We start from the raw sequence: 12,918 nt of genomic DNA, 5'->3' as shown, positions 1-12,918 counted from the left end.
TTGTAGTTAAAGATGTGGTTTTTAACAGGGAATATGTACACAAGCACACATATTCCTTAGTAGCATGGAGCCAAGGGAAAAGCAAACTACAGTTCATGAATAATGCAGAATTTTTCTGTTTATGCAATTTCTATCTGTTGTGTGCATGGTATTTATGATATTCACAAGATAAACTGATAGGAGTGTGTGATCTGCTAATATGTATATTTTAAAAGCTTTAATTACTGTTTTTATGGAAGCATGATGCTGTGTACTTTGACTCCAGGGAGATGAAAATTAGAAAATAAAATAGCAACACAACCAACACAAATGCTCCTGAACAACAAGCCTTTTATTTTTAAATGAGTGATACTTGATGTGTGTCTTAGCACACTCCAGGACCTCAAAGGGCTTGTCAGCATTGCTTTCTGATTACAGATTAAATGAAAAAAGAGAACAGATTTGAGTGGAGCGATTCTGCCTTTCCCCTTGCGAATCTCTCACCGTCACTGCTTTTTGCTGGCTATGTGTTGCCTTAGTTGAATGAAGAGAGGTGACTTATGTTTTTCAAATGCTATATTAACCTTGGAAATGATCTTGGATAACTTATCTTGGAAATTAAAGTTTTAATGAAGTGAGAGTCCCTAGAGAAAATTACAGAAAAACACATTTTTTTCCTCTGTAAATCAAAGGCACAATCCCACTAAACATTTTTGTGAACTCTGTAGATTTATGAGCTGATGTGATTTAGTGGAATGTAGTGTAGATGGAGGAACTGGCTTCTTCTATCATTGGGTAAGAAAAATCACTGGTTCACTGTGCAGCTATGAACAGATCATTTAACCTTTTTGAACTATTGTAATTAGAAAAATGCAATGTTTGGGCTAGGTGATGTCAAACATTCAGCACAGACATTTTGGAAAATCCTATATGCACTTTATTTTCACCTTCAAAACATTCATTTTAGGCCATTATGTTTGAAAGACCTTCTAGGTCTATAAACACTGTCTTTTTTTTTTTTTTTTTTTTTTAATGAAAACTGACCCTTTTTTCTCAAGGACAGATGTTGCAAAACGTGTTAAAATGTCATTGTTATTTTTTTTTCAAGACCAGCATTTTTCAAATGCTTTTCAGATACTTTGACTCTCCCCCTCATTTGTTTTTTGAAAAAATTTACTAAGTTGTTTTGCTTGTTTATAAATATGGCTTTCTTTGATGACCATTTTTTGTCAATTTCCCTGAGTTTAGAAACTTTGAGGTGTAAAATGGCTTCTCATGGGTCCTTGCATTAACTGAATTGAGAAAATATTAAATCTAAGGTTTGGAGGGGAGTTTTTTTCTTTTTTTCTTTCTTTTATTTATTTATTTATTTTTTCGAGATGGAGTCTCACTGTATCTCCCAGGCTGGAGTGCAGTGGCATGATCTCGGCTCACTGCAACCTCTGCCTCCTGGGTTCAAGCGATTTTCCTGCCTGAGCCTCTGGAGTAGTTGGTATTACAGGCATGTGCCACCATGCCTGGCTAATTTTTGTATTTTTAGTAGAGATGGGGTTTCACCATGTTGGCCAGACTGGTCTCAAACTCTTGGCCTCACGATCTGCCTACCTCAGCCTCCCAAAGTGTTGGGATTACAGGTATGAGCCATTGTACCCGACCAGGAGGGGAAAACTTGTTTCTGACCTTTTTATCCAATACAGGCTTTTACGAATTATTGACATTTAGGTAGTCAGTGGTGTGATTTAAGATGAGATAGTGCCCCAAATATTTGGCTTTATACCTGATAAAATGATGCCCTAATTTTCACCTGATTAGAATATTTAGCTTGTTGTGTGCAATGGCATGAAAAGCCTAAAGGATTCAAGATAATTCAAATTCCTATTGATTCACGTGATATTTTCACACTCAGTTCTTTCATCTGTTGTTTCTGCAAACACCTTCAAAACACTTCAATTTGATAATAATATATATATTCTTTGAGACAGGGACTCACTCTGTTGCCCAGGCTGGAGTGCAGTGGTGCCATCTGGGCTCACTGTAACCTCCACCTCCTGGATTCAAGTGATCCTCCCACCTCAACTTACTGAGTAGCTGGGAGTACAGGCGCACATCACCATGCCTGGCTAATTTTGTATTTTTTGGTGGAGACAGGTTTTCATCATGTTGGCTAGGCTGGTCTTGAACTCCTGACCTCCAGTGATCTGCCCGCCTCAGCCTCCCAAAGTGCTGGGATTACAGGCGTGAGCCACTGCGCCGGGCCTGATATTAATATAATTTTAAGAAAGATTCTTTTTTTCATTTAAAGTGCTGTGGCTTATTTATTTATTTATTAGCTCACAAAATTTTCATCTGAATTGGTCAGAGTAGGACCCTAGGAAACCGGAGAGGATGTGGGAGCTTCACAGAATTCACTGCATCTGTATTCCTATGCATCGAGGAATGAGATTTTTACCGTACACCCAACTTGCTCTGAAAAGGTCCTCTGAAAAAACAAATAGCATGTAGCCCGTGTGTGTGTGTGTGTGTGTGTTTGAAGGTTGACTAGTGTGAATTAGTTAAATGCTTTGTTTCCATTCCAACCCCTAATGAATTTACCTGTAATCCTAGTAGCTGGAATCTAATGCTTTTTTTTTTTTTTTTTTTTTTTTTTTTTTTTTTTTTTTTTTTTTTTTTTACCACAGGGAGCTTCTTGAGCTACCTTCTCGTGGAAGCCAAGTCCCAGTGACTGGTCCACGTCACCCCAACTGGATAGTCTAGTGTGTGATGCTCCTCATGGCTTCCACTAGGAGTGTGTGAGTTGCTGCTTGCCTGACCCACTTTCCACTTCCCATTTTGCATAGGGGCTCCTACTTTTTTGTTTGTAGACACACTGAATTATGAGGGAAGTTTAAACAGTTTATTTATGGAGGTTTTTTTTTTTTGTCTCTCAACCTTTCTCGGGGGAGAGATGGCAAAATGCTTTCATGTTTCTTTCCCTTTCTGAAGGCAGTTTATACCCCTCCAGTCTAGCATCTCCCATTTGGAGAACTCTTTCCCTTTGGAGAATATATACCAGGCTATCAATTTCTTCCTGTGGTTTATTAATTCCTCCCCCTCTGACCCTTGAAGGCAAATTGAGGTCAGGGACCATATGTTATACTTTGCATCTCCCATAGCACAATATCTATGACATGTGTAATGTCTAATGCCCACACACAATACCTACAGTACTTTAGTTAAATGCTTTGTTTCCATTCCAACCAAGTCCAATTATTATATATTGACTATAATAATAGCAATAATTACCATTGGGTTTTTTTTGAGTGTGTGCGCCTTGTTTTATGTTAAGCATTCCATGTGCATCATCTCATTTAGACTTTATATCAGTTTTGTAAGGTCAATATTAGAAATATTCTCCATTTTATAAATGGAAAAACCAAAGCTCATAGAAGTTAAATAATTCCCAGGTTAACACATGTGCATTCACATGCACACACACACATACACACCTAATGCCATGTACCAAAGCCCTTCTTCTCTCAGTTTCTGCTGGCTCTGTAAGCAAGGGAGAAGAAAGCTATTCTCAGAATAAGCAGTAGAGAAGAAAGCTGTCTCAAGATGGGGCCAAGTGGAGGTGTGCAGAGAAGGAAAATACATATACTCTGATTGCCAGTTTTCCCCTGAAGTACAAAATCAACCTAACTTGTACCAAGACATTTTATCTCTTTTTGTAGAATGCCCCCACATTGTCTACTTTATCTCCTTGTGTTGCCATGGCTTTAATCTTATACCTTGTGATATAATCATCTTGGCCATTTGTCCTTTTCCTGCCTTAAGTTTTATCATAAAGATCCTTGCACCAATCCTAGCACTTTGGGAGGCCGAGGTGGGAGCATCACTTGGTCAGGAGTTCGAGACTAGCGTGGCCAACATGGTGAAACCCCATCTCTACTAATAATATAAAAATTAGCCAGGCGTGGTGGTGCATGCCTGTAATCCCAGCTACTCGGGAGGCTGAGGCAGGAGAATTGCTTGAACCTGGGAGGTGGAGTTTGCAGTGAGCCACGACCGCACCACTGCACCCCAGCCTGGGTGACAGAGGAAGACTCTGTCTCAAAAAATAAAATAAAATAAAATAAAATAAAAGATGCTTGCCCCAAATTAAATAAAAATGTTTGAACCTGCACCAACCATATATATGGGCCATGCCCAACTCACTCTGCCCTGCTGTCTCTGCTTTCCTGGCCACTAAACTGAGGTTTGGCACAGAGAGGTGTGGTTACAGTGGGTGGGAGATGAGGTTGTCCAGTTTATCCAGCCCAAATCGTAGCTTAGATATCTGAGATGGGAGGAGTATGAGTGTGTGTGTGTGTTTGTTTCTTCCTGGGAAAATTGAACTAAGTGGACTCAGGAGAAGCAGTTTTTGAGCAACCATCACATATGGTGGAGGCTCAGACAAGCTTGGCTGAAGTGGGCCAGACAGCAATGTGCGAAACACAAACACTACCTACCTCCTAAGTTTATCTGGGTCCTGTAAAACCTGCCCGAATCTGAAGCTGAGTCAAATCACAATTTTGGATATTGTTGCCATGAATTCAGTTTCCACTGTGGTAACTGAAAGTTTTAATTGGAGCAGAAACTCAAAATCCATGTTGTTCTGCAAGACTGGAGACCTTGGCCATCTATAGTACCTGGTCATGTAGTCTTTCCCACTGAGCATAAACCAGTTGTTCTGTCAGAAGCCACTTATCTAATTAAGTGAACAGTGCACAGAAGGTAACAATTAGGCTTTAATTAGCAGTTGTTTCCAATCATACAGTCCAACTTTAATGGGGGATGTGGTGCATGGTCTCATCACATTAAATTGTATTTGTCCTAATGCAAATTGGTGTCAAAACCTGTGTTAATTGGAAGAAAAAAATGAAGATTGTAACTTTATTCCATAATAAAAAATTAGACTTCATGAAGTACACTTAAAAGCAAAGTGGAACAATGTTTAAAATTCACTGTTTCAATAAAATTTTATTTTTCCTTAATAAAAGTTTTCCAGATATGAATATTCTAGATTTTAAAAATAATAAAACATAATTAAATTTCACTAATATCCTCTTATTGGTCTCATTTTGTATTAAAATCAAGAAATTATGTAATTTACTTTCAAAGAGGTCATAGATGCATTGTACAAAATTATAACTAAAGGATCCTAGGGAAAGGGCTCTGTGCATGCTTGTTCTTGGGCCACCCAGTGCCTCTCCCCAGAGGCAATAGTTCTATAGTTGCGCTAATATCTTTCTAGGGTTATTCAGGATTTTATTCTTTCTTATAAAAATTATAACAAAAGTCTTCACATACATCACGTAGTTCAAGAGATTTATGACTATGTATTTACAAAGCAGATTCTCTTTTGTCTTTTGAGGGGCTGACATTTAATTAGTTGTTGATATGCACTTGGGAGATGCAAACTAATTTATTACAGTATTTACATAAAACATAATTAAGAAGACAAATATACTGCTATCAAAACAAAGGAAAACACATGCTGTAATAAAACATCGAACTGGAGTAGAATTTGCCCTGTGCTTTAAATGATGGTGGCTGTGGCTCTTCATAATGCTGCTGGAATAGGGTTTCCTGTCTTCCATGCCTGTCTCTGCCTTGGAGGGACTTTGGTAAATCCTGATCTGGTTATTAGTTATCTACATTAAGACTGAAGGTTTGGACAGCACTGCCTCCTGAGCACCAGTATCGAGGCCTGTGGGCTCCTTTGCCCATTCTCCATTTCTTTGAGAGTTTTGGACGGGGCATTAAAAGCACAGCAGCACTGCAGTATTCTAAGTCTGAGCCCTTTTCTTGCTGGTGGTCAGAATAATGCCATGGAACTCAGAAAAGGACATTTTACCAAATTGTCTACTACGTAAGGATAGCACTTCTCTGCAAATGCTTTTGAAGTTCTGGAATAAAAAGTGAAAAACAATAACTCTAAGCACACTAGGTCAGACCTTTTCTAAGATGAGAAGGCTCTCATTATGAGGCTTCAAAAGGTAGCAACAGCCATACTGCTAAGATGAGAAAGTTTAATTCTGTGAAACAACTGCAAAGGACTTTTTCCCCCAATGCAGCAGGATATCATCTGGCGTAAACTGAATGTTTTCTGTGTAATATGAACAGACTAGTGGTGATTCAAAATGTTCTGTAATTCCTCCTTCTGCCCTGGCCATCACCCTCACTTATCACCTTCTCTCTCTGTAGTATCATAAACTTGCTTCCTGCTCATGGGTCTCCTTTTTGTGTGGGGGAATGAGAACTAGTGTTACCAACTTCCATACCACTTCTTCTCATCAATGACCGCATCCTTATAGGCCCTTGGCACTAACTGTTTCCCGACCATGATAATCTTTCTTGGGGCCCTGGCTTATGGGAGTATATTAGTCCATTCTTGTTTTGCTATAAAGAAACACTGGAGACTGGGTAACTTATAAAGAAAAGAGGTTTAACTGGCTCATGGTTTCGCAGGCTGTATAGGAAGCATGGCAGCATCTGCTTCTGGGGAGGCCTCAGGGAACTTACAGTCGCGGTGAAGGCGAAGGGGGAGGCAGCACTTCACATGGCAGGAGCAGGAGGAAAAGAGATTGGGGGAGGTGCCACACACTTTTAAACAACCAGATCTCATGGGAGCTCACTCACTACACAGTACCAAGGGAAGATGGTGCTAAACCATTCATGATCCCATCACCTCCCACCAGGCCCCACATCCAACACTGGGGATTATAATCCAACGGGAGATTTGGGAAGGGACACAGATCCAAACCACATCAGGGAGGTACATTGTCTTTCTGGTCGTACTGTCCGTCCCCCAGTAACAGAAATAGGGAAACATTATTCTTTAGTTTTCAATCCCTGCCTCTCTCCAGAGGAAATTTGTCCCTCAGCATTCTCTTCAGCTTCAGGATCACAACAGTGCCAGATTAATATTCTTTCCAAACATTTCCCTCTGCTATCTTCTTCACCTTGTCTTATACATCATGCTCAGTAGCTCATCATTCAGTTTCTGGACCATCTAAGGTTTTGCATCCTCTAACATCTTGGTAAAGAATCAAATGCATGTGTTCAAAAGAGATTTCATTATCTGCCCTGGAGACGATTTTCAGTGAAACAACAGAAGAATTAAATTTGTGAATCACACCTCAGAGAATTTTTTCAGCCAATCCCTATTCTTAGGGAATTTATAATCATTTTGGAGGGTTTTGAAAAATGATGGTAGCTGCTTTCCTTTGTACACTAAGGGCATTTCTCTTTCTCTTTTCCTGTGAACTCTACATGTTCACGGATAGATTTTACAAATCCCTTGGCACCTTTGTTATTCTCTCGCAGCTCTCTCCATGTTGTCTTTACTTGTCATGTTGGAGAATCCTAAAGTAGAGATGGATTCAAAGGAAACTAAGTAATATGAACTAGCTTGAGGAGATCGCCCACTAGATCTTAAATTTTAGCATTCTCATTTCAAACTGTTCCTGAGGAGACTTTTGATAAAGAAGACATTAGTCTTTTTTTTTTTTTTTTTTTTTTTTTTTTTTTTTGAGAGACGGAGTCTCGCTCTGTCGCCCAAGCTGGAGTGCAGTGGCGCGATCTCAGCTCAAGCAAGCTCCGCCTCCCGGGTTCACGCCATTCTCCTGCCTCAGCCTCCCCAGTAGCTGGGACTACAGGCGCCCCCCACCACGCCTGGCTAATTTTTTGTGTTTTTAGTAGAGACGGGGTTTCACCATGTTAGCCAAGATGGTCTCGATCTCCCGACCTCATGATCCGCCCGCCTTGTCCTCCCAATGTGCTGGGATTACAGGCATGAGCTACCGCCTCAATGCTGTTGTTTATATCTGCCCACATCTTCAAGTTGTCAGGGTGTTTTTTCATTGCAATGACACCCTCCAAATGAAGTCGACACTCCACCTACTTGGTGCTGCCCACAAATAGTAAGTAGAGTCTCTGACTGTCATTAGTAAAAATGAAGTCCGATTTATTAAGGAAAAAGCTGACAGAACAGCCTGGTTGAAAAAAAAAAAAAACAATCAAATGGGAATGAGAAGACCTGCATTTCCCAATGGCTAGTTGGCTGGCCACTTTCTTGCCTTGACGTTTTTCTAACATATAATATGGGAATCATGATTTCTCCCTAGAGGTCTTGGGAATATTCTTACTCAAGTATTTGGGGAGCATTTTTTATGGTGTATAGCACTGTGCTAGAATCTGAGAAAGAGAAAGATATAAATGAAAAGAATTGCTGTCCTTTAGGAATAAAAAATGTAGTTGAGGAAGCAAAATATACATACATAATAAATCAGTTTAGCAACAGTAATGATTGTTTACCTCTTTAGAGCATTTTATAGTTTTCAAAGTTATTATATGTGGGTATACAAAATTATATATATATAAATGCACATATATTCATGCATAAATATAACAAGGATTAAATGAAATTCTACATATGTGAAAGTATATGCATATAAATATATACATATATTTGTGTGTGTGCATATATGTGTGTGTGTGTTCACAATTTCATTTAATCCCTATTAGCAACTCTATGCGGCAGATAGTAATGACTCCCCATCACAGATGACAACACTGAGGCCACATGATATTAAGTAAAATTGCAAGTGAAACAGGATTTTAACACCTGTCTCTGGATGCTAAGCCCTGTGATCTTTCTATTGCAGCATACATTATTTTCTTAATCCAGGACAAGGGTGCATCCCCAAAGTGTAATGTGCCTAGTAAGTGCTGTGGAAAGCTTGCTTGGAGGAAGTGGGTTTGAGGTGCAGAAGAAGATGGGGTCTCAGATAGGGAGAGAAACACGCTCTAAAGTCTGGCATGTGGCACACTGAGAAAGAAGAAAATTGTGAATGCGAAGGATGTGTGAGTTTGGATTTTTCTGAAGGATTGGATTACATGAGTGAATATATTGCAGTGCGTGAGATTAGAGTGTAGACTGGCTGTGGAGTGGGTTACAGCATGGGATCAGAGAGGTGGGTTAGAGGTCTTTTGTACTCTCCAAACAGAAAATGCCTAAGGGAAAATATGAAAAAGAAGAGGCTGGATAGACGGACCCTTTGGAAAGACTTTGTAATGAATTCATCTAGTCTAGTGTCAAAGATTGGGTTTCTGGCTCCATGACTAACTAGGTTTGCTACCTAATCAAGTTGTTTATCTTCATCAAGTCACAAAAGTACCTGGCTCATTGGGTTGTTCTGAAGACAAATAATCCATAGAAAGCCACTTTAACTCACCAACTCACCACCTAGCATTTAGAAATCATTCATTAAATGTTAGCTAGTTATCCTAGTATTAGAGGTAAAGTGGTAGAAGGAAAGATATAAAAAGATAATCTATTGTATGAACATGTTTTAATTCCTCAGAAGAAAGACGAACTCTCTATTAAACCAAGGCTTTACACTGTTTTAACTAAAAAGCAACCAATACCAGCTTTCTCTGTGGACAAGATTTATTTTAGTTTAAATGGACAGTTTCCACTATGAAGCAATATTAGTGACTCACAGCAAAGATAATAAAACTAAGAACCACCTACACATCTTTACAAACTTTAAACTATTTGTAGTAGTGAAATAATAGTGTTTCAGGTTCTGATTTATATCAGCTTAAGCCAGTTCTTTGTATATTTCAAGACCTGCATCATCATTGTGACATTTAGACATAAGGATATTGGGGGTTTCACTGAGGCAGTCGTAGTTTTAGAGTTTGACAAAGAGTGAGGAGTAAGCACTTTCCATTTGTTCCAGGAACTTAAACATTTAATCCCTTTGGAACTACTGAGGATGTCCATAAGCCATGTCAGAGATACCACATGAGGAAGGCATTGAATAAAATACCTCCCCTCATCCCACAGGGTTGGTATTTTAATGAATCTTTAAAGCATTTGACTAATCAAATAACTTTGGCAGATTTCCTCTCAATATTTAAATGACAGTCAATTCCAAGTGCAATATTTACAAAGTCCAAAAGGATACAGAGTTTATCAGGTGGAACAGAAATTTTCTCTGGTCTTTAGAAGGAGGACTGACATTACCACGCCCTGTCTCCTTACTCAGAGGGACGCTCCGTTCAATTTTCCCATAAATTGCCTGGCTGCATTTTCCAATTCAGTCTCCTACGCCTTCCTAAAGGCAATTTTAAGACTAGGTGGCTGCCAATATAATATAATTTCGGTGGAAACAGAAAGGCCCACCTGCCTGAAATCTTCACTCAGTGGCTAGGTCATCCTCTCTAGAGGGCTACAATTAAAATTAATGTGTTATATTTGGCACTGGTGTGCATTCATTTGTCTGAGAATTCTACAGTCAGAAGACACTTTGCATACCACTGTGGTCTAACTTCGTTTTCCAGTTGGGACAACTGGACCATCAGCTCCAGGAGATTGTGTTTTATTCCTCTGATTCTTGCCTAGCACTGTGCTGTGGCTTCCGATGGTGCCTAAAAAAGCATCCCTGTTTGAGGCTGCCACTGCAACATCTACCTCCAAGAGGTGAGGTACAGAAACAGCACATTGCAAGGGGGTTCCAGAGTCATAAGATGACAACTCTGCGCCAGGGCGGGTAGGGGAAGGATAAAGCTGGGAGAGGAGGAAAGAGTCGGTGCCCAGTTAGAAGAGGACCATGGCTAGAGAGTGAAAAAAGAAAAGTGTTGCTTCGCCATGATTTCTGAGGCTATTTCTACTCAGACAGCATGTTTCACAATATTGGTTGCCCTCTATTTAGAGGTTTCTCATTGATTAATGCCATCTCAAATCAGGAGTGGGCTACTGTGTACCGTGAGGCTTTTCTGTGTTTTGATTCTGAGACCCTGAAATAATTTTGTAATGATCTAAAACTATTTTGGATGGGCTGTTGGGAGACTGTTTCAAAACACTTTTATCATAATATATTTTGTTTATATAGCATATGTATATCTATACGTGTGTTATGCTACGTATGTATATATAATTACATATAAAAGATATCAATATGTATCTATATATGTGTAAATATATTGATATTTGTATTTATGGCTTTATTATGTATAAATATATAATTATTTATGCATAAATATATTTATTTTAAAGGAATTGAGAGATTTATTTTATATGATAGGGGCATCTAAAACCGCCAAATTCTAAAGATGCAAGAGAGCTCAACCAGTTCATCTTCCTCCTTTTTTAGGTAAAGAAACTGAGAGAGTCAGGAAAGTTGAGTGACTTGGCCAAGGTCTCAGGAAAAGCAAGAGCCCCACCTAGAGCTCAATTTGTACTTTCCAGGCCAGGATACCTTCCAGTGTACCCCTGGGTCTAGGGCAGTAGTACTTGGTGCTGGTAAAGGGGTTAGGCTCTGGGTCTTGAAATTGTTTCCTACTCATGATTCTGAAATGCACTACCTCATACTTTGACTTGATATCCACTTTAGAAGGGCCAAAAGGAGAATGTGAAGAAGTCATTGGCTTGGAGAGAGTACGATAAAACCTCAATAGGAAAACTAAATGTGGTTGATTTGTACATTCATCAAATGTAAATGAATACCTGTTCTTACAATGGAATGTCTATAACTGTGTCCTGAGAACCCATCCTAGCAGATACTACTCACAGAAATAGGTCTTTCCTTTCTATTTTCTCTCCTTATCATTGAGACCACTAGAGTCCATCTTGCTTTAAGTTTACATTGTAAGAGCAGAAAAAAAAAAACCAAAAAAACAAAATCTGGACTCAGGTGTGGACTCTTCAAAGATAAACCACTGGTAACAGTCATTCTAGTCTCCACCAGTGATTTATCTCTGAAAAGGGCCTGACAAAGGGGGATGGATGGAAAGGGGGTAGATGTTGATCAAACGGTACAAAGTTTCTGGTAGACAGGAATAGTAACCTTTAGTGATCTTTCACACAAAATGGTGATTATAATAAATACGATTGCATTACATATTTCAAAATTGCTAAAAGGGTAGATTTGACATGTTTTTGCCACAAAAAATTATATGTGAGGTGATGAATTTGTTAATTAGTCTGATTTAATCATTCAACATTGTGAACATATATCAAAACATCACCTTGTATGCTATAAATAAATACAATTATTATTGGTCAATGAAAAATAAAATAAAAATTTTAAAAAGATAAACCACTACCTTTTTCTTTACCAGAGGCTGTTTATCAGATGTCCTTCAGTACTAGGCAAACTGAGAACCCCACTGTTTGGATAACATTGCTGCAGCAGGAAGGATTTTTTTTTCTTTCCTGAGGCTTTTTTGCTTGAATCCAAATTTCTTTACAATTGACTCATTCATTTCTCCTACCCCTGCCTACTTCTGTCAGCTCTTCTGGGAAAAATAGCAAATGAATTTAACATTTTCACCCAGTGGCTGGAGGCCACAAGACTAGGGCACTTAATATGATACGGTTAGCTTTGTTTCAAATTAAAATTGGAACCAGTAATGTCTTAATTCTCTTGTCTAGACGATTGTCACGGCTGTAAATTATCATCATAATAGCTATTGTATGGTTTCTAATGACTTTACCAAAACATTATTTGCCAATCCTATAAACTTTTTGAACATGCTGTTTAGTTTATCCTGATGAATCTATTAAGAGGTGACACATACATCCTGCTTCCTCTCTCCAAAGAGACATTTGTGGATTCAATTCCTTGCTTGTTGCTAATGCCACTTTGTAATCTCAATACTGATCTAATTCTGTTTTCTGTCTGTCTACAACAAATTTAATCAGAAAAATCATTATCCAAATGTAATGTTCTGTGTTAGTATAATTACTGATAAAGTAAGCTTTACATCTGCCATTTTGCCACATGTGGGTTTTTTTTACTGTTGTTTTGATTTGAGTTTTTTTTTTTTTTTTTTGAGACTGGGTCTCACTGCGTCACCCAGGCTTGTATGCAGTGGTGTGATCTTGGCTCACTGCAACCTCTGCTTCCT

General features: G+C 38.8%; 1 protein-coding gene across 21 annotated transcripts in view; it reads left to right on the top strand.

Moving 5' to 3' along the window:
- The window catches only part of FGF14 (fibroblast growth factor 14), a 691,640-nt gene that overhangs the window by 193,809 nt on the left and 484,913 nt on the right, over positions 1-12,918 (top strand). The window contains exon 2 of one of the 21 annotated variants that reach the window (NM_001321943.1): positions 2,658-2,768. The exons of the other annotated variants lie outside the window; for them this stretch is intronic. The gene's annotated coding sequence lies outside the window, so the exon portion shown is untranslated. The remainder of the gene's footprint in view (positions 1-2,657; positions 2,769-12,918) is intronic. 21 annotated transcript variants of the gene reach the window in all.

This window comes from Homo sapiens, chromosome 13 (genome assembly GCF_000001405.40).
Source record: "Homo sapiens chromosome 13, GRCh38.p14 Primary Assembly".
Classification (NCBI taxonomy): domain Eukaryota; kingdom Metazoa; phylum Chordata; class Mammalia; order Primates; family Hominidae; genus Homo; species Homo sapiens.
Note: the sequence above shows the minus strand (reverse complement) of the source record. Positions and strands in the feature narration are given on the sequence as shown.